The sequence below is a fragment of the Homo sapiens genome, chromosome 5 (assembly GCF_000001405.40).
Source record: "Homo sapiens chromosome 5, GRCh38.p14 Primary Assembly".
Lineage (NCBI taxonomy): Eukaryota > Metazoa > Chordata > Mammalia > Primates > Hominidae > Homo > Homo sapiens.
This window is the reverse complement of record NC_000005.10, coordinates 159,099,996-159,127,467: the sequence shown is the minus strand read 5'-3', so window position 1 is coordinate 159,127,467 and position 27,472 is coordinate 159,099,996. Positions and strand designations below refer to the sequence as shown.

The following is a 27,472-nucleotide window of genomic DNA, read 5'->3' as shown; positions in this document are numbered from 1 at the left end:
CAGAAGCTTAACTGTAATTCTGAGCTAGCAAAAGAAAGAACTAGGGCTGAACGTGGTGGTTCACGCCCGTAATGCCAACACTTTGGGATGCTGAGACAGGCAGATCACTTCGGGCCAGGAGTTCAAGACCAGCCTGGCCAACATGGTGAAACTCTGTCTCTACTAAAAATACAAAAAAAAGTGGCCAGGCATGGTGGCATGCGCCTGTAATCTCAGCTACTCGGGAGGCTGAGGCAGGAGAATTGCTTGAACCTGAGAGACAGAGGTTGCAGTGAGCTGAGATCATACCACTGCACACCAGCCAGGGTGACAGAGTGAGACCTTAAAAAAAAAAAGAAAAGAAAAAAGAAAGAAAGAAAGAACCAGGAATTTGAAAAGAGAGCAGTGAAAATTACCGAATCTGAAAAATAGGGAGAAAAAAGATGAAAGAGAAATAGACAATCCTATAGACCTGTGGAATAATATTAAATGTACCAACCTAGGTGTAATGGGAGTCTCAGAAAGAGATGGAAAGGAAAATGAGATAGAAAAACACCTAAAAGTAATGGCCAAAAACATTTCAAATTTGATGAAAATATATTAATGTACAGATCCAAGAACTTCAAAGAATTTCAAGTAGGATATACACAAAAAGATCCTCCTTAGACACCTCAGAATTAACCTGTTGAAAAATAAATACAAAGAGAAAATCTCAAAAACATAAAAAAACCCCACAACACAGAGGAACAAGAATCCTAGTAACATCTGATTTCCTATCAGAAAGAATGGAGGCCAGAAAAGCAGTAGAAAGCTATATTCAAAGTGCTGATAGGAAAATTTTTTAAAAGCCTGCAAACTTAGAATTCTACATCAAACAAAATTATCCTTCAAAAGTGAATACAAAAATAAAGATGTTCCGGAAATAAATGAATATTGAAAGAATTCCTCACTAGCAGAGCTGCTTTACAAAAATACAGAAAAGGTCTGTTAGGCTGAAAAAAAGTGACAACAGAAAATAGCTGTAATCCTAAAGAATAAGCGAAGAATGTCAGAAATAACAAATATGTGGGAAATTGTAAAAGTCTCTAGAAATAAGTTTTTCTCATTTTTCTTTTAATTTCTTTAAATGATACAAGACTGTATAAGGCAATACTTATAACAATCTAGTTGTATAGAGTTAATGTAGAGACATAATCTATACAACATAATAGCACTAATGAAGGGGGAAAAAAGAGATATATTAGAGCAAGCTTATCCACCCCATGGTCTGTGGGCCACATACAGCCCAGGATGGCTTTAAATGTGGCCCAACACAAATTTGTAAGCTTTCTTAAAACATTATGAGATTTATGCATGGAATTTTTTTAAAGCTCATTAGCTATCATTAGTGTTATTGGATTTTATGTGTGGCCCAAGACACTTTGTCTTCCAATGTGGCCCAGGGAAGTCAAAAAATTGGAAACCCCTGTATTAGAGCAATGTTTCTATATTTTACCAGAAATGACTTAGTATTATTCTGAAGTAGATTGTGATAAGTTGAAGTGCATATTGTAAACCCTAATACAACCACTAAGAAAACACCTAAATGACATATAGTAAAATGTACACAGAGGAATTAAAAATGACACATTAAAAATATTTATTTAACACAAAAGGAGGCAGTAAAGCAGGAACAAAGGAAATACATGAGACAAACAACACACAGCAAAATGGCTAACATAAATGCAAAGATTATCAACAGTTACATTAAACATGATTGGACTAAACACTCACTAAATACTCCACTCAAAAGGCAGAGATTGTCAGACTGAATGAAAAAGCAAGAGCCAATTATATGCTATCTATAAGAGATCTGTTTTAGGTTCAAAGGCACAAATAGGTTAAAAGAAAAGGATGGAAATAATATACCATGTAAACATTAACCATAGGGTTGGAATGGCTTTTATCAGACAAAATAATCTTTAAAATAAGAAATATTATCAGAGACAAAAGGACATGTTATAATAATAAAATGGTAATACATTCAGAAAATATAACAATTATAAATCTCTATGCACCAAATAATAGAGCTTCAAAACACATAAAGCAAAATTTGACAGAATTAAAAGGAGATGTAAACAATTTAACAATAATAGTTGAAGATTTCACCCTCAATAATTGATACAACAAATAGAAAGAAAAACAAGAAGCATATGGAAGACCTGAACAACACTAAGACCTGAACAACACTATCAATCAATTTAACCAATATTTATAGAACAAACAACTCAATAAATGCAGAATACATATTATTTTCAAGTGCACATGGAACATTCTCCAGGATAAATCATATATTGTATCCATAAACAAATCTCAACAAATTTTCAAAGTTTGAAATCATCTAAAGTTTGTTCTCTGATCACAACAGAATTAAATTAGGTTTAGGGATCCACAACAGTAAGAATTCTGAGTAAAACTCAAATATTTGGAAATTATACAACACACTTTTAAATAGCCCATGAGTCAAAGAAGAAATCACAAGGGAAATTAAAATATACTTTGAACTAAATGATAATGAAAACACAGCATAGAAAATGTATGGATTGCATTAAATAAGCACTTAGAAGGAAAATTTTAGCTCTAAATGTCTATATCAGAAAAGAACAAAAGTAATCTAAAGGTAATCAGTAATCTAAACTTCCTCCTTAAGAAACTATAAGCAAAAGGAGAGAAAAAATATTAGAGCAGAAATCAGTGGATCCCATAAAGAGAATCAGTGAAACCAAAAGTTGGTTCTTTGAAAATATTAAGAAAATTGGCAAATTCTCAGCAAGTCTGACAAAGAAAAGAAAATAGAAGATACAGATTGTTAAAATCAGAAATTAAAGAATGGACGTTATTACCAACACTGTGGGAATTAAAAGGATTATATGAAAATATTATGAATAACTTTATACCAACAAATTAGACAACTTAGATGAAATGAGAACATTCCTTGAAAAATGTAAATTACAAACACTAAGAAATAGAAAATATGGATAGATTAGAAGTGAAGAAATTGAACACTTATGTTCATAGCAGCATTATTCCCAATAGCCATAAGGTAGAAGCAACCCAAGCATTCATTGACAAGTGAATGAATTAACAAATGTGGTGTACACATGTAATGGAATATTGTTCAACCTTGAAAAAGAAGGAAATTCTGACACACGCTACCACATAAATAAACTCTGAACTTACTTCAGTCACAAAAAAGACAAACACAGCTGGGTGCGGTGGCTCGCACCTGTAATCCCAGCATTTGGGGAGGCCGAGGAAGATGGATAACTTGAGGTCAGGGGTTCAAGACCAGCCTGGTCAACATGGTGAAACTCTGTCTGTACAAAAAAATTAGCTGGGCCTGGTGGTGTGTACATATAATCCCAGCTATTTGGGTGGCAGAGGCATGAGAATCACTTGAACGCAGAAGGCAGAGGTTGTAGTGAGTCAAGATTGTGCCATTGCACTCCAGCCTGCATGACAGAGGGGTACTCTGCCTCAAAAACAAAAGACAAACGCTATATGATTCCACTTGTATGAGGTGCCTAGATTAGTCAAATTTATAGACACAGAAAGTAGAATGGTGGTTGCGGGAGGAGGGGAGAATGGGGAGATGTTTAGTGGTATAGAGTTTCAGTTTGATGAAAATAGTTCTGGAGATTGGTTGCACAAGTTTGACTGTACTTAACACTACTGAACTGTACACTTAAAAATGACTCAGATGGTAAATTTTATGTTATGCAGTTTTACCATAATTTTTTTAAAAAGAAGCTTCCTTGGAGAACACAAGATTTCAACACATCATTACACCTGTATAAACTCAATGCATTCCAAAACATTATAAAAAGAAGAATTAGCAATTTAAAAAGTCTGAGTAAACCTCAAATATTTGAATTTAAAAGAAATTGAATTAGCAATTAAAAAATATTTCCAGAGAGAATAGTCCAGAACCAGATGATTTTACCGGTAAATTCAATCAAATATTTAAAGAAATAATACCAATCCTTCAAATACTTTTTCCAAAAATAGAGGGGGGAGGGAACACTTCTGAACTCACTTGATGAAGTCACTATTACCCTGTTACCAAAACCAGACAATGACCTCACTGGAAAAGAAAACTACAGACCAATTTCCTTCATGAACATAGATACAAACATTCTCAACAAAATATTAGAAATTTGAATTTAGCAATATATAAATAGGATTATACACTACGACCAAGTAAGATATATCCCTGACATGTTAGGTGATTTAATGGCATTTCTGTAGAGTATATACCTAGAGGTGAAATTTCTAGATTATAGGGTAAAATATTTTGTAAATAATGTCAGACTTGGTTCCAAAGTGGTTGTACTTATTAACAGTGTATGAGAGTTCTCACATGTATTAAGTAACACTTGCATTGTCAGTCTTTTAAACTTTTGACTATTTTTTTTGAAACACGGTCTTGTTCTGTGACCCAGACAGACTCACTGCAGCCTCAGCCTCCTGGGCTCAAGTGATCCTCCTGCCTCAGTCTCCTGAAGATCTGGGACCATAGGCATGTGCCACCACATCCAGCTAATTAAAAAAAAATTTTTTTTGTAAAGATGGGGTCTCCCCGTGGTTGCCCAGACTGGTCTCTAACTCCTGGGCTCAAGCAATCCTCCCACTTCATATTCCCAAATTGCTGGGATTACTGGCATGAGCCATCGCACCCAGCCTAACTTTTGCCTGTTTGATAGGTATAAGACTATCTTACTCTGGTTTTATTTTGTATTTGCCTGAATTGTAATACAGTTGAGCACCTTCTTATGTGTGGTTAGCCATTTGGGTATCTTCTGTACATGTGTGTAAAATGCCTGTTAGAGTTTATAAATAGTGATTATATATAAGATTTTATTGAGTGTTTACTACATGCCAGGCACTAATTACTAGATAAAGATTCATTTTATCATCACAATAAAGCTAAGTAGTATGTACTATTATTATCTACATTAACAACTTTTTTCTGCTTCTATTGTGATGAAGACAATATGATTTTCCTCTTTTAACCTATTAATGTGGTGAATTACTTGCTTTTCATTATGTTACATCAACCTTAAAATCAAAGGATAAATTCTACTTGTTCATGAGCTATTGTCCTTCCTGTATATTGTGAATTCAATTTGTTAATATTTTGTTTAAATTTTTAAAAATCTAGGTTAATGAATAGGATTAACCTATATTCTTCTCTTACACTGTTTTTGTTAGGTTTTGATATCATTATTATTATTATTATTACTGTTTTTGAGGCAGAGTCTCACTTGGTAGTCCAAGCTGGACTACAGTGGTAGTGCGATCTTGGCTCACTGCAACCTCTGCCTCCCAGGTGCAAGCGATTCTCCCGTCTCAGCCTCCCGAGTAGCTGGGATTACAGGTGTCCACCACCAAGCCCAGATAATTTTTGTATTTTCAGTAGAGACAGGGTTTCGCCATATTGGCCAGACTGGTCTCGAACTCCTGACCTCAAGTGATCTGCCTGCTTTGACTCCCAAAGTGCTGGGATTACAGGTGTGAGCCACCGCTCCTGGCATCATTATGATTTTTAATCCTGAATATTTATCATTATTCCATTACAGTAGTCCCACCTTATTCACAGGACATACTTTTGAAGACACCCAGTGGATGACTGGAACTGCTAATAGTGCCAAACCCTATCAATACTATGTTTTTTGCTATATATGCTTACCTATGATAGAGTTTAATTTATAAATTAAGCACAATAAGAGATGAACAACAATAGCTAATAATAAAATAGAACAATTATAACAACATACGGTAATGAAAGTTATGTGAGTGTGGTCTCTCTCAGAATATCTTATTGTACTATACTCATCTATTTTCTTCAATTTTTTTTTAACTCAATGGTTCTTTTAGAGACATATACTTGCCTATTTTCAGATCATGGTTGACCCTGGGTAATTGAAACGCAGGAAAGTGAAACCTGGGATAAGGAGGGACTGCTGAAATTTCCCCTACTCATTTGGAAGTAACACACGCTAGTTCTATAATGTGTAGTTGTTACCTTATATTATGGATTGAATTGTTTCCCTCCAAAAGATACACTGAAGACTTAACCTCCCACCTCCACTCGGTAACCTTATTTTGAAATAGGGTCTTGCAGATGTAATCAAATTAAGATGAGGTCATCAGGGTGCAACCTAATCCAATATGGCTGGCGTCCTAGTAAGAGGAGATGGCAGTGACATATGGGGAAGATAGCCCAGTGAAGACAGAGTCAGAGATTGGAGTAATACTGCCACAAGCCAAGGAATGCCTGAGACTACTAGAGGCTAGAAAAAGCAAAGAGGGCTTCTTCCCAAGAGCCTTCAGAGAGAACATAGCCCTGCCAACACCTTGATTTTGGACTTCTAGCCTCTGATACTATGAAAGAATATATTTCTGTTGTTTAAGTCCCCCAGTTTGTGGTACTCTGTTATGGCAGGGGTAGGAAACTAATCCTAGAAATTCCAACCTCCATAATTAGTGTACCAAAGTTTACAAGTGATCAGAATGTTATTCCCTTCCTGGACAAACGTGGAACACAGGGAAACCACAAAGAAGAACCTTTTATTATTTCTGTATTTCCCTTCTTCAAACTCATATGCTTTTGTTGTCCAGTACTTTAATCAATCCCCCCTTTTCCCCACTAGAAATTCTCATTGCTATTTTATACAGTCGATGCTTATTTTGTTTACCCACATTACCTACTTGCTTTGTTCCACAAAGTTTGATGCATCTCAGATCTTCTTTCCGGTGTCATTGTCTTCCTGCCTAGGTACAGCAAGTGATTTTCTGTAGTGAGAATCTGCTGACAACAAATTCTGTCAGGTTTAGTTTCACTTTCACTGGGTGTAGAATTCTATGTGGCAACGATTTTATTTTGGTACACTTAAGACACCATTTCACTATCTTCTCTCTACCATTACTGCTGCTGAGAGAAGAGCTAGCTCTTCGTTGGAATCATTCTAATTGCCATTCTTTAAAAAGTTACTTATCAGGCTGGGCGCGGTGGCTCATGCCTCTAATCTGTGTGTCAGGAATTGGTGGGTTCTTGGTCTCACTGACTTCAGGAATGAAGCCACGGACCCTCGCCGTGAGTGTTACAGTTCTTAAAGACAGCGCTTTCCTTCAGATGTTCGGATGTGTTCGGAGTTTCTTCCTTCTGGTGGGTTCCTGGTCTCACTAGCTCAGGAGTGAAACTGCAGACCTTTGCGGTGAGTGTTACAGCTCATAAAGGCAGTGTGGACCCAAAGCGTGAACAGCAGCAAGATTCACTGGGAAAAGTGAAAGAACAACACTTCCACAGTGTGGAAGTGGACTCCAGACCCTTGCCACTGCTGGCTTGGGCAGCTTGCTTTTATTCTCTTATCTGGCACCACCCACATCCTGCTGATTGGTCCATTTTACAGAGAGCCGATTGGTCTGTTTTGCAGAGAGCTGAATGGTCTGTTTTGACAGGGTGCTGATTGGTGGGTTTACAATCCCTGAGCTAGATACAAAAGTTCTCCATGTCCCCCCACTAGATTAGCTAGATACTGAGTGTCCATTGGTGTATTTACATACAAACCCTGAGCTAGACGCAGAGTGCTGATTGGTGCATTTACAAACCTTGAGCTAGATACAGAGTGCCGATTGGTGCATTCACAATCCCTTAGCTAGACATAAAGATTCTCCAAGTCCCCACCAGATTAACTAGATACAGAGTGCCGATTGGTGCATTCATAAACCCTGAGCTAGACACAGGGTGCTGATTGGCGTGTTTACAAACCTTGAGCTAGATACAGAGTGCTGATTGGTGTATTTACAATCCCTTAGCTAGACATAAAGGTTCTCCAAGTCCCCACCAGACTCAGGAACCCAGCTGGCTTCACTCAGTGGATCCCGCACCAGGGCCACAGGTGGAGCTGCCTGCCAGTCCCATGCGCCCTGCACCCGCACTCCTCAGCCCTTAGGCGGTCGATGGGACTGGGTGCCGTGGAGCAGGGAGCGGTGCTCCTCCAGGAGGCTGGGGCTGCGCAGGAGCCCATGGCAGGTGGGGGGAGGCTCATGCATGGCAGGCTGCAGGTCCCGAGCCCTGCCCTGCGGGGGCAGCTAAGGCCAGGTGAGAAATCAAGCACAGCAGCTGCTGGCCCAGGTGCTAAGCCCCTCACTGCCCAGGGCTTGCAGGCGGGCCCGCCGCTCTGAGTGCGGGGCCCGCCGAGCCCACGCCCACCCGGAACTCACGCTGGCCCGCAAGCGCCGCGTGCAGCTCCGGTTCCTGCCCGCGCCTCTCCCTCCACACCTCTCCGCAAGCTGATGGAGCCGGCTCCGGCCTTGGCCAGCCCAGAAAGGGGCTCCTACAGAGCAGCAGCGAGCTGAAGGGCTCCTCAAGCGCGGCCAGAGTGGGTGCCAAGGTCGAGGAGGCGCCGAGAGCGAGCGAGGGCTGCAAGGGCTGCCAGCATGCTGTCACCTCTCACCAGCACTTTGGGAGGCGGAGGCGGGAGGATCACGAGGTCAGGAGATCAAGGCCATCCTGGCTAACAGGGTGAAACCCCGTCTCTACTAAAAATACAAAAAAATTAGCCGGACGTGGTGGCGGGCGCCTGCAGTCCCAGCTACTCGGAGGGAGAATGGCGTGAACCTGGGAGGCGGAGCTTGCAGTGAGCCGAGATTGCGCGACTACACTCCAGCCTGCGTGACAGAGCGAGACTCCGTCTCACACACACACAAAAAAGTAGCTTATCTTTTTTCCCTCTGGCTGTTTTAAATATTTTTCTATTTACTTTTGTTTTTCTGCAATTTTACTATAGTGCATCTAGTTGCAGATTTTATTTTACTTGCTTGGGGTTCTCTGGATCTCCTCAATTTATAGATTTAACATGTTCCTTCGATTCTGGAAAATTCTCAGCCATTTTCTCTCCAAACATTTCCTGCACCTCATCTTCTCTTTCCTCTCCTCCCAAGGACACAATGTTAGATTTCTCACTATATCCTCCTTGTGTCTTACTCTCGTTTTTATTTTTCCTTCTCCATGTTTCGGTTGGATAGTTTAATTTATCTTTCCATTCATTAGTTCTCTCTTATCCAATCTGCTGTTGAATCCATTCACTGAATTGTTAACATTATTTTAGTCTTTATTTATAAAATTTTTTTTTCAAATCTGGTATGACAAATTTTATAGTTTTTCTGTTTCCTGCAGATATTGTAGAGTTTGTCATTTACTTCTTTACACATGGTTAACTATGGTGATATTTCAGTCTGTATGATACTTTCAATACAGGAGTGGAGTGCAGATGTTTCTGCCTTCTGTTGGTTCTGTGGATTCTCATTGAAATCCTAGCTTAATTTGAGGAGGTCTCCTAAAAATTTCCCACCTTGGATGGCTTTGAGTCCTGACCTTTGCTGCCTCTCCCCATACAGCCCCTGAGCAGAGCCCAAGTGAACGATAACCAGAAATGCTTTCAGGCCTAATTGGTTTCGTGTCTGATATTCCAGTCCTTTTTCTGGTTACAAATCTGTCCCCTCAAATTGTCCTGGGAATTTCCGACTGTTGTTTTTTTCTTTTCAGTCCTTTTCAGGAGAGTTCAAACTTATTTTGACGTGTGTGTGTGTGTGTGTGTGTGTGTGTGTGTGTGTGTGTGTATGTTGGTAGTAGAGGGTTGATTTGAATGACCTAGCTGCCATGGCTGGAAACCAGAAGCTCAATGATACTATTTTTGGTCTTTCACATTCTTGAGTATATCCAAGTTGGCATGATATCCCCACAACATAATGGAATTTGAGTGCTTAACTGCATGTGAAGTACTATGCATATGATTATGGACTAGCATCAAGGAAAAGGAAGGGGAAATTAACTTTGCTTAGATTCCTTATCTAATTCTAGTTATTTAAGAATATTATCCAAGTCCTTATTTAACAACAATCGTTTGCACATCTCAAGACAGTATGAAGTCCACAAATCTTAACATAAGAAACTGAAGTCGTAGTCTAAGTGCCAACATATTTACTGGAGACAGATTTATTTAAACAATCAGATTTGTGAATGGAAGCCTCCAAAAACACAAAATTTAAAAATCAACAATTGCTCTTGCTTATTAGAAAGAGGCTGTATTTTTATATTTTAAAAATATCAATGCTTCTCACACATGCCCTTATACAAAATTAATGAAATAGAATATTTTATCAAAATATTAAAAATAACTATGCTTTTAATGCTAAGACTACTGTGAAGACTAAAAAAATTTTGAATTCAAATTACAAAATCATTTGGTCTGAAAACATAAGGTACTCCACATTTTACCTATTGTAGAGTTTAAAGTCCTTGTGAGCAATTTGAAGTGTCAACTTTCCTACTGATGTGGCCTACATATTTCAAAATCCAATCTCTATTCTGTTTAATAGTAGGTGCTTTCTGAAGGCTATAGTCCATCACACAAGAGAATACTTCTTCTCACTTATACAACACATGTGTTCATGCCATTCGATTTCAGAGTACAAATACTAAGTCGACTGGTCTTCATTCTCTTGAAAAGCTAAGCGAGGTAAAAAAATAATAGCCATAACGTACAGATCACAAAAAAAGTTATTTCTTTTCCACATGGTTTCCAACAGCCACAATGAAGCCAGCATTGGGTGCTGAGTGAGTGTCATGTGGGTTTTCCAGGGCCCAGGGCAGCTGTGCTCAGCAGCAAGGACATCATTCCTCAGGTTGCTTAAGAAGTCAAACCCAGGCCGGGCACGGTGGCTCATGCCTGTAATCCCAGCACTTTGGGAGGCCGAGGCAGGTGGATCACGAGGTCAGGAGTTCGAGACCAGCCTGACCAACATGGTGAAACCCCGTGTCTACTAAAAATACAAAAATTAGCCGGCCTGATGGCGTGCGCCTGTAATCCCAGCTACTCAGTAGCCCGAGGCAGGAGAATCACTTGAACCCAGGAGGTGGAGGTTGTATTGAGCCAAGATCACACCACTGCACTCCAGCCTGGGCAACAGAGCAAGACTTGGTCTCAAAGAAAAAACAAAGAAGTCAAACTCTGTCTCTCCTGATCCCATAACCTCTACATGCTCCACCTTGATTTCCAGAGGCTTGAGACCCCAGATGTCCCTTCTGTAGCTTAATCAAGTCATCTGGGTTGGTTTCTTCACATTGCTTTGGCACATGTACTTATAAATGGATATCTCAAAGGGGAAACTGAATCTTTCTCTTGAGAGGCAGCATGGTGGAGTGATGGCCTCGGGCTTGGCCTGGGATCCAATGCTGACTTCACCACCTAATGCCTTACAATCTTAGACAAACTATCTCATCCCTCTGTGCCTCAGTTTCCTCATTTGTTAGAAGAGAGAATGATTGCTTCCACTTCATAAACTTGCCATGAGGAATCAATGAGGTCATAAACAGAAAGAATTGACTAGTTTGGCATATAAAAAGTGCTCAATAAATTTTTTGATGTTATTATTCAGATTGAGAAATGTTGTGCACAGCTTTGGTTAACTCACCTGGGGAGAGTAATATTCTTGAGAGAGAGTTTTGAATGTAGTTCAGAAATAATTAAATGCCTTCCTTGATTGAAATAGAAAGGCAATTAAGACAATGAAGTATTTTTCTCTGTAGTATCTAGGACATATTTTCTCATTTTCCTTTTGTAATGGGAAAATGTGAAACTCGGTGAAACTTTCTCAGAGTAGTGACAAATTACTCATTCTGAGGTCAATTGTTCCCCCACAAATACATTTCAAACAGGGAAGGTAGGTAAGATTCTAGAGGCCTCGGAATTCAATGCTGGGGTAGAATGATGTTTAGGACTCAGGCAGCCCAGATTACTAGTGTTGCCAGCCATATGATTTTGGAAAAGCTCTTTAATCCCTCTGGGTCTCAGGCTTCCTAACTATAAACTAGGGGTAAAAATATCCACTGGCAATGGTGATGGTGTTAGGGTGACAGGAGACAGGCTGTGACTGTTACTACATGGTAGCTAAGCAAAAACCCAGAACTGACTTTACAATGGGTTCCAGGGACTGACTATAATAGGGAGCAACATGTTCACATAAAATGGACCCAGTAGCCAAGCTTCTTTCATTCTACCCAAGAAAACCATCTCACAGGCCAGGTGCGGTGGCTCACACCTGTAATCCCAGCACTTTGGGAGGCCGAGGCAAGTGGATCACCTGAGGTCAGGAGTTCAAGACCAGCCTGACCAACATGGTGAAACCCCATCTCTACTAAAAATACAAAAATTAGCTGGGCATGGTGGCAGGTGCCTGTAATCCCAGCAACTCGGGAAGCTGAGGCAGGAGAATTGCTTGAACCCGGGAGGCAGATGTTGCAGTGAGCTGATGTCGTGCTATTGTACTCCAGCCTGGGCGATAAGAAAAAAAAAGAGAGAAAGAAAGAAAATCATCTCACAGATACATGTATCTTGTTATCTGGGATGGGGCACAAAACATCTCAAATATGTGTCTAGGAATAGGGCAGTGGAATGAAGGAGGGGGAGGCAGTGACAACTTACTTAGAATGTTATAGATGCTGTATCCATTAATCTCTTCATACACATCATTATTTTTCTGATGGGAATTATATTATTTCATTAATGGGTATTGGGAAGGCTCTGGAGAGGGTAAACAGTTGAATAATCCACAGTCCCTGTCTTTAAAGGAACTGTAGGGAGATAAGGGAAGTATAGTATTTACAGAAAGCCATCTATGTGTTTGAGTATTAGAGCAGTCTATTGTCAAACAGCTCTAAAATTTCAGTGACTTGACAAAATAGATGTTCATGTCTTGCTCATACAAAGTCTATTTCCTCATGTAGTAGTTTATGGACACAGACTCCTTCCATTTTGTGACTCTGAGATACCCTATAGTGGGAGTCAGCAAACTGCGGCTCATGGGTCAATTCCAACCTACCTACTGTTTTTTGTTTTTTTTTTTTTTTTGAGACAGAGTCTCCCAGGCTGTAGTGCAGTGGCGCGATCTCGGCTTACTGCAAACTCCGCCTCCCAGGTTCAAGTAATTCTCCTGCCTCAGCCTCCTGAGTAGCTGGGATTAGAGGTGCACACCACCACACCCGCCTAATTTTTGTATTTTTAGTAGAGATGGGGTTTCACCATGTTGGTCAGGCTAGTCTTGAACTCCTGACCTCATGATCCACCTGCCTCTGCCAACCTACTGTTTTTAAACATTCTTTTTTTGTAAATAAAGTTTTATTGGAACAGTCACACCTATTCACTTCCCTTTCATCTGTGCTTTGTAGCTGCTCTCATGTTGCAATGGTAGAGAGAAGCAGTTGTGACAGAGACTGTATGGCCCATGAAGGTTAAAATATTTACCATCTGTCCTGTTACAGAGAAAATTTGCTAAGTCTTGCCAGAGGGCATCGGAGTCCAGTGTTAGATTCTCTGATTCAGCCCACAGAAGGGGGAGAAAAAGAGTGGAAGATTATGCAGGAGGATTGATGGACTATGGAAATGGCTTTCTTCAATCCCACCTCAGCCTGACTTCAGCAGAAGCCGGGAAATGCAGCCTTGCTATTGCCCAGAAGGAAAATGCAAAGCAGTTCTCCATAGACTGGTACTGTGATAGACTCTTCCATTCACTCTCTCCTTTTTGTTCATCAAAACAACCCTTTAAGCTGGGCATGGTGGCCTGAGCCTATAGTCCTAGCAACTTGGGAGGCTGAGGCAGGAGGATCACTTGAGCCCAGGAGTTTGAGGCTGCTATGATCTTTGATCACACCTGTTAACAGCCACTGCACTCCAGCTTGGGCAGCATAGACCTTGTCTCTAAAAAAAACAATCAAGCAAACAAAAACCAAAGACAGAACTGCTTTGCAAATGAGTTATCTGAGGTTCAGAGAGGTTAAGCAACTTGCCTCAAGGTCACCCAGCATCAAAATATTTGTAGTTGTAGTAGCAATAAGATTCTCATCATACTTGTGCTATTCTTTCTGAAAAAATCTTTTTTAATTGTGGTAAAATATATTAATACTTAACATGACATGTACTCCTCTAACTGTTTTTAAAGTGTGCACTTCAGTGGCATCTGAAATGTGTTCTTGAGAGTGGGAAGTTTCCTAGTTGTTAATAAGAAATTTAAAACTTAGGGTTTTCATTTCAGTGATTATCTTAAAATGTTAAACAGATTCGTCTGGGCAATACCTTTAAACTGAAGACTGACATGAAATTTCTGAGCTTAAATTTTAGTTTATGTTTATTGGTGCCAGCGGTAATTCTGAATTGTCATAGGCTGGTAAGAAGGGGCTGAAATTTATTTGATACTGAAATTATTCCTTTAAGCTTTTCCTACATACTGTGAACTAAGGAATGTTTTGTGCTGGTTCACAAAAAGAGAAAAGTGGTGGAAGAATTAAATCATCACAAATGGCATAACTATAAAGGCATGCCATATCCAAAAGAATCTACTCCACTGAATTCAAAACAATGTTGATATTTGAGAGGCAATTCAGTTTCCACAAAACAATGTCATCCAGTATATTTTATTATTGTTTACTTATAAATCTTTGGTTTTGTGGGGTTTTTCTTTTTCATTTAGTTTGCAATTTAGTTTCACCATTGTTTAAGCATTGTTATGCATGAAGAATTGATCTCTAGTTTTATGCTTGCACATATTTAAGTTACATAATAAAATTAATTTAAATAAAAACATGAGAGGTCTAGAAGAATACTTTCTCCTTGAGAGATATGTGTCTATGGCTGAAGTATAAGAGTGTCTACCCTACAGAGATAGTTCTCTTTTACAAAAGATTTAAATTTGAATTAGGAAACTGTGCCAGTGAAGACAAGCTAAGTTCAGCTGCAGTAACAAGCAAGCCAGAAATCCGAGTGGCTTAAACCACTTGCTTACATTAAATCCATTGCATATTGGTAAAGAGCTCATGGTGCTTCTTCTGTCTGCCTACAAATTCCTCTTGGTGTTAAAATATTCCATTTACTGAACAAAAACAGTACATGATAAACTGTTCAGAAAGGAAACTTGTTTTTGCTTTTCAGGGACGGACATCTGTATGGCCCTGTAGGCATATATGGTCCAAGAAACTTCTTCTGCCAGTTTCTTCTAAATGTTTGCCTACAGACTTCTCTTTGTGATAAAATCTTCCATTCACTGAGCAAAAACAGTACATGATGAAGTGTTCAGAAAAAAAAAGGTGGTTAATATTTTTCACGCCGGGGTAACTGTATGGCTCTATAGGCACAAATGGGTTTAAGACACCTCTGCTAGCTTCTTCTACGTGTCTGCCTATAAAATCGTCTTAGTGTTAAAATCTTCTGTTCACAGAAAGAAAACAGTACATGATGAACTGCTCAGAAAAGAAGCTTGTTTTTACTTTCCAGGGCTGGATATCTGTATGGATATCAGGACCCAAACTGATCATCATAGCAGGACCCAAACTGATGGATCTGCCCTCAGTAATATTTCTGGTTGAGGAGAACGAGTGCTCTGGGGGTTCTCTCACCTGCAGATAAATGCGCTGAATCAATTAAGTCAGATGACTGCACCGAACTTCTAGAAGAGGAGCATAGTCCTCAGGTATGGCCAGGATGAGAGTGAACCAGGCATCTGTTACCAGCGATCATGTCTGCAACAGAAAGCATCCTGCATCTTTTTATAAAAAAGTGCTCCATAGCATAGTTCCGACACTTTCTATTTCCTACTAAAGCTTCAGACAGCTTTCTAAATTTCATAGGCAGCTGTGGCTTTTGAGTTACACCCCAAATCTGGTGCTTCTTAACCATACAGTATGGGCGGATCTAAACCTGTTCCTCCTCTGTGAAGTGGGGCAGAAATGTCAGTTGCATGGTGTGTTACGAGAAGTCAAGGCAGTAACTCATGTGAAACTTCTTTGTCAAATTTAAATTATTATCCAAATGAAATTATTATAACAATATTATTCTTGGCAGTCAATCATGCCACACCAAGGATAAAGAATAGACAGTAATGATTTCACCCTATAGCACTCATCGCACAGTCAATATTTTCTCACAAAAGTTTCCTGAAAATCCACAGAAAAACTCTTTAGGTTATCAGATAATGAAACCTATAGAGAATAGCTCTTCAATATAGAAGCAAATTTCTCCTCTTGGCTAGAAAATGACAAAGCATTTTACATGGCCCCAAATCTATACAGCACACTTTTCTAGCAGATTCCCACGTTTAAAAGATTTGAGGCTTAAGGAAAGAAGTATTATTTTGCCTAAGAAGCAGTTGTTTTAAGTTGAGATCAGTATAAAAAAATGAAAAAAGATTCACAAAATAGTGTTGGGGATGGAGACACAGGAAGATTTTTATACTGTAGCATCAACTCTGAAACTGCTATCACCCAGATACCTCAAAATTCTAGCTTAGTAGAACTGAGTGGTACCCTGAAGTTCATGTTGTCTACTCTTATTTTCTAGTTGTCTTAGTCAGCTCAGACAGCTATAACAAAATACCACAAACTAGGTGGCTTAAGCAACTAACATTTATTTCTCACCATTCTGGAAGTTGGGAAGTGTGAGATCAGGATGCCAACATGATGAGGTTCTGGTGAGGGTTCTCTTCCTGCCTTGCAGAAAGCTACCTTCTTGTTGTGTCCTCGTATGACAGGGAGAGACAGAGAGGGAGAGAGACAGATGGAGAGTGCTTGCTAGCTTTAGTCTCTACCTCTTCTTTTAAGGACACTAATCCCACCCTCATGGCTCATCTTAACCTAATTACCTCCTAGTTATCTGTGGGAAGTAATACCATCACATTGTGCATTTGGGTTTCAATATATGAATTTGGCAGGGCAGAGGAGCGGGGCAAGGCAGAAACATTGAGTCCATCACACCACATGAGGACAAGAAGGTCTGGAAAATTTAAATGACTTGCCCTAGATCACGTTATTAAATTCAAGTTGATTAGTCAAATATTTTTCCTTTTTGCCAATCTGATATAGAATTGAACATGAGGCAGAGAGAAAAGTTACTTTATGTCTGCATACAGTTGCTAATAAAGCCTTTTCTTTTTTTCTTTTTTCTTTTTTTTTTTGAAATGGGTCTCTCTGTCACCCAGGCTGGAGTGTAGTGGTATGATCTTGACTCACTGCAACCTCCGCCTTCTGGGTTCAAGTGATTCTCCTGCCTCAGCCTCCTGAGTAGCTGGGACTACAGGCGTGTGCCACCACGCCTAGCTAATTTTTGTATTTTTAGTAGGGACAGGGTTTCGTCATGTTGGCCAGGCTGGTCTCAAACTCCTGGCCTCAGATGATCCTCACACCTCAGCCTCCCAAAGTGCTGGGATTACAGGCGTGAGCCACTGTGCCTGGCCAATTGCTAATAAAGTATTTTCTAATCACAACCTATGTAACTCACTTCATGATGTATCTGCAAGTGGACTAAGGACCCACTGAATATTCTTGTCGAGGTCTAGCAATAATTTTGAGATTCCTTTTAAGTATTTGTAAAATTTAGTTATTCTCCTTATTTCAGAGGGTTCCAGATGTTTTGACCCTGGGGAAATGTATGAATAGACTAAGAAAATGAGATTCAGATTTCTAGTTGAATGATTTCATTTTCTGATTATTTTATTTAATTAGACATGGCAGTCTACTTTTCACTCTAGGAGAAGAATTTTCAAATTGCCCCCCAAAAGAAAAGAAAAGATGAGTTTCCTTTCTAAGTGTATTCTTCCAGAGAGGCTAGGTTATACTGCAGTACAGAAAAATCTCTGGGATTTACAGTAACAAAGGATTATTTCTCATTCTTGCTAAATGTCTATGGGTGTAGGAGATGTCTCCACTCCACACGTCTGTGCCAGGGGTGGGATGCTGATGGAAACTCCATCTGGTGGGGGCAGCAACAGCTGTGCCACCGGGAAGGGGATTTGGTAAATTGCACTATGGCTCTTCATGCTTCTGCCCCTGTAAGTGACACATGTCACTTCTGCTAATTCATTATTTGCCAGGGCAAATCACAAGATCACAGCTAAATGCAGAAGGGTCAGAATACTTCCATCCTTCTATGCACCTGGAAGAAGAAAACCCAAAATTTTGGTGAACATCTCTAATGGCCACCATAATAGGAATAAAAAAGGAAAACAGAACACACCCCAACTTTGTCAAAACGCCAGTGTCTCACACCATCAATATGAATCAAATTCCCAAATATCCATCAGCTGTACAATAAAATATCTTAACACATTATAGAGTTTCCTGAATCCATTTCTTCATCTCTATACAAGAGAATTGCATAGAATGGGAAGCAAGTACAATAAAGTAAATTAAACTGGGGCTGGAGTGAAGTTTCTAGAAATGGACTGTGGGCCAGCAAAATGTGGAGGCACGTTTATACCTTTTGTGGATTTTATTAGCCTCATTTCTCAGAGGAGAAATCATGTGTTTATGACATGACAATACTAGTCAACAGTCTTTCCAAAATAATTGGACAGTAGGAAAGTTATAGCCGTAACAGGGGAAAAAGTTCATTTTCACCTAATTGACAATAGGAATGTTTGTTTAATGGGTCACTCTAGAAAGAGATGTTAAATCTTTAAAACTTAACCTTTTTGGGAAATGTCTTAAGGTCTAGAATATGTTCAGACAACCTTCATTTGTTTATTTTATTTGGATACAATCATTTGCTTAGACATGTATTTTTAAACTTTTAATATATTAGTAGTAATACATTATTTTATTTGAGTTTTCTTTTATTTGGATACAATCATTTGCTTAGACACATATTTTTAAACTTTTAATGTATTGGTAGCAATGATGTTTTCAAGTAGGGAAACACTTAAACTAGCTCAGAATCTCCCCTAAATTAAAAAATAGAGTTTTGTACTTTCCAGAATAATAAGCATCTTTTTCTTTTTCTTTTTTCTTTTTTTTTGAGGCAGAGTTTTGTTCTTGTTGCCCAGGTGGAGTGCAATGGTGCGATCTTGGCTCACTGCAACCTCTGCCTCCTGGGTTCAAGCGATTCTCCTGCCTCAGCCTCCCAAGTAGCTAGGATTGCAGGCACCCGTCACCAAGCCCGGCTAATTTTTTGTATTTTTAGTAGAGACAGGGTTTCACCATATTGGCCAGGCTGGTCTCGAACTCCTGACCTCAGGTTATCCACCTGCCTCGGACTCCCAAAGTGCTGGGATTACAGGAGTGAGACACCGTGCCTGGCCAATAAGTACTTTTATAGCCTTTCTTTAAATCTTTCTTGGTAAAGATCTACAAAGCAGGAGGAAATTACAAGAGGCAAAGTTTGCTGGTTTACTGTTTGATTATATCTCTCCCACTACCCCTTAAATATTTGTAACAGAGCAGGGTTAACATTAACACCCTAACCACCATAAACTAAAAATATTTATTATATAATTCATGTCTAAGATGAAAATGAAGATATAACAGTAAGATGATTTCATACAGAGGTACAGGGAATTCTGTGTGACTAGGGTAAGTCAATTTTGTGTTTTGTTTTTTTTGTGTGTGTTTCAGTAGTTTCGAGTTATTATAATTACTGAGCAATGACTAGAATGCTATATATCATGTAATTCACATTTTTTTTTCTCATTTAATCCTCCACAGAAAACCTACTTTTAGAACTTAGGAAACTGAGGATGAAGTGACTTGACCAAGGTCTCCTAGCTACTTAGCAGAGGAATACTCTTTAGAGATAAATAATTGTGGTGACATTTCAATCAAAGTATCTGATAATTGCAGTGCCTTCCCACACCCAACTCTCTAGGAGAAGAAATAATTTAAAAGATACATTTATTCATAAACACACAAGTACTCATTCTGTGTCTTTTCCTATCACAAAGCCCACGGATATACAGCTGAATAAGTCTGCAAGTCAGAGGTTAAGAAAAGTTGGCTCTGGCATCCGACAGGCTGACTTGGATGAGGCTCTGCAATGCTACCTTGGATGGGTACTTATTTTCTCTAACCTCAGTTTCTTCATCTGCAAAATGGGAAACAATATTCGTGCTTTCCTCATGATTTTGCTGGGAAAATGAAATAAGACAATATGTTTTTGCACAGTACAGTGCATTAAACGCTCCATAGTATGCACTTGATATATACTAGGTTTTATTGTTGAATAAGCAAGGACAGCCATGGCTCCTCTCAGAGGAGCTCCCTGATTAGGGAGAGGAGAAAAACGTTTAAATAGCATTTCCTGTCCAATGTGATGCGAGCAGTAGGGAAACCAGGGAAAGGCACGAATGACTGCGTTGGAAAAGTCTAAAAAGGTTTCATAGAGGTGACTTTTGAGCTGGTGATTTTAGGGGGAGCAGTGCTTCACCGGATGGAGAAGGAGGTAGACATTCCGGCTATGTCCAAACGTGGGGTAGAAAGGCGCGTTTGGGGACCTCAATACTCAGGATAAGGGAACATTGAAGAGAGAGAAAGGGAAATAATGAAAGTGCATGGAAAACCAGTAAGTGTGGGACCCTGGGGGCTTGGACCAGAAAGGGCCAGCCTTCCGTGGCCATGAGGGAGGGAAGCTGGAGGATCGCGAGGTGGCGCTGTGGCTCCACCTTAAGGAAAGATTCTGGAGCTCGCGGGTCACCCGCACTCCCAGGACAGCCTCGGAGAGGTGGGGCAGCGCAGTCTTGGTGGGTTTGGCATCTTCACGGCAGCTGCCAAAAAATAACGTTGATAAAGATAATAAATACATAAGCAAATAAACCGGAAGCGGTCCCTTTTAGGACACACGGCAAGCATCAATAATCAGAGACCGTAGGCGAGGAAGGATTAAGAGCACGGAACTGTCCAGCAGGGACCGTTCCCAGCTCAGTCCGCGTAATCTGTAGGCCCGCATTGGGAACCCGCATCGCCTGCCTGGAGCTGAGCTGTATGCTAACCCGCGTCTTCGGGCGGGCCCTGCGCCCCGAAGGCGTCTCCCTAAAGCCAAAGTCGTAGCGGTCTGCACGCCTGCCCTTGGGCCCTCGGTCCGCACCCTGCCTAGACCTAGATTTTTTTGGATTTTTTTTTTTTTTTTTTGCTGAATTTCATACGCACACGTGCACACAAAACCACGTGTGAGTTCAGGCTCACACACGTTTACGATGCTCTTGCACAATACACACGGACTTTTGCAAATGCACAGCCCACTCACTTAGACACTACACATGACACGTGCACACACTATACACATGCGCACTCACGCCCGTGTGCACCAATGCCTTACGCACCCACGCACACATTCAGCCAAGTGCTCTCTGTCACCGGCACAAACACACACTTACTGCACTGGCCCACAAATGTGCAGCCACTTTTCGCACATGCAAACATATTTGCACATTCACATCATACACATCTCGCATCCCAGTAGCCAACAAAGACCTCGCAGCACGCAAAGGTGTGTAAATATTCAGCAAATTGTCCCTCGAAGGAAGTATGAGCGCAAACTTTTTGTTATCCAGGCATCTCGAGCTTTTCTGCTAAACTCGCCCTCCCTTCTCCAACTTTCCCCTGAATAAACAGGCCTGTTCCTCCCAGTCTCCCCTCTGAGAATGTTTTAAGGCCAAGGTTTCTTCCATAAGGTTTGCGCTACTGAAGGGATGCTAATTTTCAAATCGCTAAGAAGCTCCCTTCTCCCATCCCAGAGCCTCCTTCTACCAAGGGAGCAGGGACCTTCCCAGATCGGATTCCAATCTCGTGGACTAGGGGACTGTGGGCAAGGGCCACCGGGTGGGATATGATCACGCCCTAGGGCATCCTCGGACTTAAAGATCCTTTCCGGCAGTGCCCCCAACTGTATTCTCCCGACTCAGAATGACTTCAGCTTCTAGCTATCTATGGTCACGCCAGGGCAGAATCAGCATCTCCCCCATTAAAGCACATCCGCAAGTGTCCAGATTTCTGTCCTTCGATGGGCATCAGGAACATCCCCGCAAAGTCAGATACTTAGTCTGTTCCAACAGGCAAGCTTGCGTGAGCTCTAAGATCTCATCTAGGACTGGGAGAGAGAATGACTGACAGGAGGTCACATAGTAAATGTGGCAGAGCCGGGGCCGGGGCTGGCACGTCCCTGGCGCGCTCTGTCCCTGCGGGCCAGGAGAGAGAGAAGCACATCGGTAACTGACCACGTGAATGCGCATTCAGTACGCGCATTAGTTAGGACGTTTCATAGTCTTCCCCTTTCCTCTCCTCTGCTCCCTGCCCTCGGGAGGCACCGTGCGCGCTCGCTCCTTTCTCCTCCCGGATGCGGAACCCGGGCCCAGGAGCTCCAGAGCCAAAGGACACTTGAGAGTTGGGGGACAAGAGATTCGCGCCACAGCTGGGTGGACGGTTTGGCTCTATATTTAAGGGGACAGGCTTTAGCGATATTCTGGCTTGGCGACTTTATTAGCTGTTGGCCGTGGACAAGTTTTTCAACTTCGCTCACAGGGTCTCTGTTTGCTCACCTGTAAAACGCCGGAGTGGTCTTATCTGCCGTGGTCTGTGGCGGATATTCAGTGAGTTCCTGCCCGTAAAGCCATCAACAAATGGGATCTATTATTATCTGGGGCCGCCCGGGGGGAAACCCAAGAGAGTTGGCAGGCTCGCCCCAGAAAGACCTGTAGGAACCCCTTGCCCCAGGCTTCTGGCCGTATCAGACTAAGCGCTCCCAACCTGGGACGGAGCCCCGCGGTGTTGTTTGCTTGGTCTCTATCTCCTAGCCGTCTGTGGGTGTCTTTGTCCTTCTCTAGGCCTCAGTTTCCCTGTATGTACCATGGGGGGTGGGAGGTGGAGGTGCGCTCCCAGAGCCGGGAAGTGTCGGTCATACTGGGCCAGCAGAGGAGGCCTTCTCTGGAGCGTAGGGAATCGGAAACAGAAATCAGATTCTGGATTTCCAGTGGACCCCTGGCCTGCTACTCCCACGCGTTCCCCGAGGACTGCGCATGGAGATCACCGAGGAAAAGAGCCACGGTTTTGAGGGCTGGCGGTGTGTCACGGTGTTCGGCCACTCGCGCCATCTTCCGGGTGCAGTTCAGGGGCCCCGCAGAGCCGAGCCTTCGCGCAGGTCCCGGCTTTCCCAGGTCCCCGGGCCGCCACCCACTCCTATTCTCGTCCACCGGGCAACGCCGTGGCCCCTGCTCCTCTCCACCTCAACCCCGACTCCAGGCTGCTGGTCGACTCCTCTGGAGCGGCCGCAATCTGAGGGACTTTGCGCCTTGGCTTAGGTCCTTGCATCTTTCTTTTCCCCTTTCCCTTCCCAACACTGAAGTAGGCATCTGTCCTCCCGCCTCGTTCGAAGCTGTCCCTGGCAGGTGGCGAGGGAAGGGGGCACGTCCCGGGACGGTTTGCCCTTCTGTGGGCCCGCCCTCACAAGGGGAATGGAGATCAAGAGAATTTTCCAAGTGACAGGTCCCAAGTCTGGCCTCCTGGGGGCGGACGAACAGAGACGATTCCCTCTTCCGCTGGGACCTTTCCACGGGTCTTAGTTTGGCTGTATTTATCTAGTCTCTTCTCTTTGGGGAGACCGGTATGTTTCTACTGGAGTCCCCAGAAATTACTGGTAGATGTTGCCTTTCAGAAAGGGGAATTGATTTCCCTGTGCCTCAAGAGGGTTGGGATAGCCAAGGAGCAGAAGGTCAGGGTGGGAGTGGGTGGGTAGGGAGTGCTTGCACACTGCCCTGGGCTTCCTCCAGGCCCAGGTCAAGAGATCCCGAGAGCTGGACAGCCCTGCCTACCGCTGGGAGCATCTGAGGGGCTGTGTATCCTGAACTCCCACAGCTGCAGAAATTTTGAGGAGCTCATCAGGGAAACTAGGCTCCAGGGGAAACCCCAAACCTCTCTAGTTTTTCTTTCCAGGTGTAAACTCATTCTGCTGTATTTTTTCCCCATGCAAAAGTCTTTTTTCCTCACGCCTTCCTTCCCTTCCTTCTTTCTCTCAGAGATGATATATATTCAAAAATCAAGAGTTTCCAAATAACTTTAAATACAGATCCCAGGCACCAACACAGGAGGTTCTGATTCTGTGGGTCAGGATAAGGCCTGGAAATCTGCATTTCTAACAAGTGCCTGCACCCTTCCCCATGTGATTAGCCTGATGAACCCAGTTTGGGGATTACTATTATAAACTACCCTAAAGTCAAATCACTCATATGCCATAAAGCCTAGGCAATGCTGTACATACTAGAATATCTCATTACAGGATACCTTTACCATAAAGTATATACCTAAGGTAATTGTGATGGATAGTGCTTGAAGTATCTGCTTTCAGGTATGATGGCAATCACCCTCTACACACATGCTTTGTCTCTGGAGGTAGTGCTACCCTCACATGAAGATTTAGAAGTATTTAAGAGGCTCTTTTTCAAAGTTTAAAATTACAATTGCTGGTTCAATATTCACCAGAGAAAATCCATAAAAAAAACTACTGCTCTGCTGGCCTGTGTGTCATTTCCAGTTTTCTGTCACTCACTCTGTCTCTCTTCCACCTTCTCTTTAGCCTCCTTCCTACTTAAACATTTATTACAGGATGAGAAAGCCAGACTGAAAGCACAAGGACACCAAGAAGAAAAGCTATGAATACACTCGGCTTGATTAAAATAAAGCACACTCACCACCCCAGGTGAGGTATGTGCTGCCTCTGCACAGCCAAAGGAAATTAGTCTTATCAAAATATTTCTGCCCCCTTTTATTTTTCTTCCTTCTCTAGCCTGGCAGGTATGGAAATTGCCTCCCTCATATTTAGTTCCTGGAGAGACTGGCTCTGGGGTAGAAATTGAGCTGCTCAGGACTTCTTGCTTTGTGCCACTTTCTCATTTGGGTGAGTCAGCTTCAGGCTCTCAACAAACGCATCCTTTGCAGATGCTTCTAGACTCTGTTCAACCCCAGAAATCTATCTGCTGTGTGTCTCTTGCTGATCCTGGACTTGAGGGTGTCTATGCTTTTCTTTTCCCTGGCACTTTTGTCACCTTCCTTTGGCAGTGATCTGCTCCCTTATTTTGTGTCCCTCACCACTGGAGACACCCCACCAGACTCAGCTGGGAGTCCTGCAGTTGAGGACTGTTTACTGGAGAGTAAAATGGAGGTTCAGGCAGATAAAGAGAAGGAGGCCTAGGCCTTTTGCCAGGGCTATATGGGACCCATTGATAGGATGGGTGGGCTTTGCTTCCTCATCTCCTTACCTTCAAGGATCCTCTCTGAGCTGGAGAATATGGCCCAGGCAGGGGGAGGGATTGACTCTGGGGACCCCTTTGGACCTGGAGCATAAGGTTAAGTTTGGAGCTTTAGAAAGTTTTTAGCAGGCCAAGTTTCAATTGTGCATTTAAATACTATAGAGACTGAAAATGTTCACATACCTATCCCCAAAAACCTACAGCCCTTCAAGTCTCTCCACCATTATACTCTTCTTCGACATGAACGCTATGTTAGGAACCCCTGTGAATGCTATGGGGATCCCAAAAGATCAGACCAATCCCTTCAGGGAAGTCCTGGAAGAGATGGCATTAATTATGGTACCAGGGGAAAGTGCTCAGCACACAAGAAGTCTAGATTACATGTGTGAGAGCTGGGCAGGCCTCGTGCACAGGAGATAAAGCAGTGTTTGAGGACAGTGGCCATGCACTGCAGGCCAGGACCACACTCTTTCATCCAGTTTAGGAATCAGGAAGTGGCTCCACTGCTCTGCCAAGAGCACAAAGCATAACTCTTGCCTGTCTCTATTCAACATGGGCATGTGTACTTTTCCATCACTGACCCCATGAGCTTCCTAAATCAAAGGACCAAGGAAGGCCAGCAGAAAGGGGACCTGGATTTCTGGCAGATAATTTCCCCGAAGGAGTCCTTAGCAGATTTGGCTGCAGTCAGGGAGTTCCTTTGAGGGCAATGAAACAGAAGTTCACCATGTGCTTATTAGAGGTTACAACCTGCTAAAAAATGATGGGGTACATTACCCAGAAACTTCTAGCTATTTCCTTTGCCAGCCACAAAGATACATGCTGAAAAGCCTGAGGAGGGAGACAATTTCGTCCTTTTTTCTTTCCCTTTTTCCTTCCATCTCTCCCATTTCCATTCGTTCCTTCTCCTTCTCTCCTTTCTCTCTCCCTCCTTCCTTCCCATTTTCTCTTCCCCTTCTTCCTTTTTTGTCCTTTCTCCCCACCTTCCTTCTCTTCTCCCCCCACCCTTTTCATATGGCAGAGACAGAGTTAGGAAGGATTTGTTCAAGCCCTCCTTTTTAACAGGAAGAATAAAGGAGGATGAGAAAAACCCTACACCAAATAACCAGCTAATCAAGGACGGTTAACATTGCTGTTGCTTTGGTAGTTACTCTAAAAACAAACGAACCAACTACTTGGGGTGGGGAATGAGGGGTTGGCATTTAATTTGAGAAAATTTAAAAACGCATCCTGACACAGCCCCAGTGAGAGCATTCATTCCACCATTCACATATCTCGAGGACTGCCCGAGAGAGGTGAGCGTGTGAGTGAGAACAGTGCCCAACCCTGGCAGCCTCTAGGCTAGCGGCCGAGAGAGAAGCGTTTCAGAGGCCGGGGTGGGAGTAGAGCCTGGTACCCCACTTCCTGGGGACCCACAGCGCCTCATTTGCCGGGGCCCAGCGTCCATTCATCCCTCCCAGCGTGGAGGCCGTGCCCCTCCGAGAGTTACCAGCCCCGACCTCGCGCACCCATATTCCATCCCACCGCCCCCGCCTCAAAGCGAAGAGGTGGGCACCTGGGACGCGCGTCCTGCTTTTTCTGCCCGGGCTCTCCCGTCTCCTCCACTTTTGTCCCCGACGTCCCAGAACGGCGGAGCAGGACGCGGCATCAGCCCTGGGAGGGCGCAGCCTGCGAGCCTCCAGCGCGCTCAGGGCGCGGCGAGGATGCTAAAGGACTGCAATGGCCAGGATGCAGATCCCCAGCTCAAATTCCTGAGGAAGACACCCGCCTCCCTTTCCCTCTGTCCCCTCTCCGTCCTCGCTCGGACCCGCTCCTCCCCAGCCCAGACGTCAGTGCTCAGCGCTCCTTCGCTCGCCACTTTGCGAGGAACTTTGGCCGGCTCCCCTGCGCCACCGGGAGCGGGATGTTAATGAGAGAGCGTGGCCTGGCGCCGCCAGCGAGCCGGCTCCCGGGCCGCGATTGGCTGCGGTGGGCGGAAAGATGACGTTATGCAAATGAAGGGGCGGGGCCTCGATGCGCGGGCCCCGCCTCCTCCCTTTGGGGTTAGTGTGCCTGTGTTTAGCTCTGGGGAAAGTCAAACTGGATTCCATAGGGAAAGCCTGCAAATCACTTCTATTTTAGCAAGGAGAAAACAGAATCTCCATCCAGCAGGGTCCACCCCTCTCTCTTTCTCCCTCTCCTCTCTATCTCTCTTTCCCTCCCCCCCTTTCCTCTCTCCCTCTCTCCCCTTCCCCCCACCCTCTCTGGTGTATCTGTCTACGGCAACCAGCGTCCTCCTCATCTACACGCAAAGGAAAGAAACATCTTTGGTTGGGAGAGAAGGAGGAAAAAAAAAGAGAGAGAGAGGAAAAAACTTGCCTGGTTGTGGAAAATGACACTTGAAGTAGCAAAGCCGGCA

At 42.8% G+C, this 27,472-nt stretch overlaps 2 long non-coding RNA genes across 2 annotated transcripts, besides 3 other annotated features; both read right to left on the bottom strand.

Annotated features, from left to right (window-relative positions):
• Positions 1–9,989: 9,989 nt before the first annotated feature.
• LINC02202 (long intergenic non-protein coding RNA 2202) lies at positions 9,990–26,985 on the bottom strand. Its single transcript, NR_109890.1, has 3 exons — positions 26,630–26,985; positions 15,470–15,609; positions 9,990–12,356 (listed from the first exon to the last, which is right to left on the bottom strand). It is a non-coding gene; the product is annotated as a long intergenic non-protein coding RNA 2202 (long non-coding RNA).
• On the bottom strand, positions 20,029–22,449 carry LOC107986467 (uncharacterized). The gene is made up of 2 exons (XR_001742942.1): positions 22,372–22,449; positions 20,029–20,601 (listed from the first exon to the last, which is right to left on the bottom strand). It is a non-coding gene; the product is annotated as an uncharacterized LOC107986467 (long non-coding RNA).
• Positions 22,531–23,436: an enhancer, noted in NCBI's record as "H3K4me1 hESC enhancer chr5:158531040-158531945 (GRCh37/hg19 assembly coordinates)". NCBI's record gives its function as "activates a minimal SCP1, AML or CMV promoter by ChIP-STARR-seq in naive H9 embryonic stem cells {active_cell/tissue: H9 hESC(naive)}" and the evidence as "EXISTENCE:reporter gene assay evidence [ECO:0000049][PMID:30033119]".
• Positions 26,017–26,643: an enhancer, noted in NCBI's record as "H3K4me1 hESC enhancer chr5:158527833-158528459 (GRCh37/hg19 assembly coordinates)". NCBI's record gives its function as "activates a minimal SCP1, AML or CMV promoter by ChIP-STARR-seq in primed H9 embryonic stem cells {active_cell/tissue: H9 hESC(primed)}" and the evidence as "EXISTENCE:reporter gene assay evidence [ECO:0000049][PMID:30033119]".
• Positions 26,644–27,272: an enhancer, noted in NCBI's record as "OCT4-NANOG-H3K4me1 hESC enhancer chr5:158527204-158527832 (GRCh37/hg19 assembly coordinates)". NCBI's record gives its function as "activates a minimal SCP1, AML or CMV promoter by ChIP-STARR-seq in primed H9 embryonic stem cells {active_cell/tissue: H9 hESC(primed)}" and the evidence as "EXISTENCE:reporter gene assay evidence [ECO:0000049][PMID:30033119]".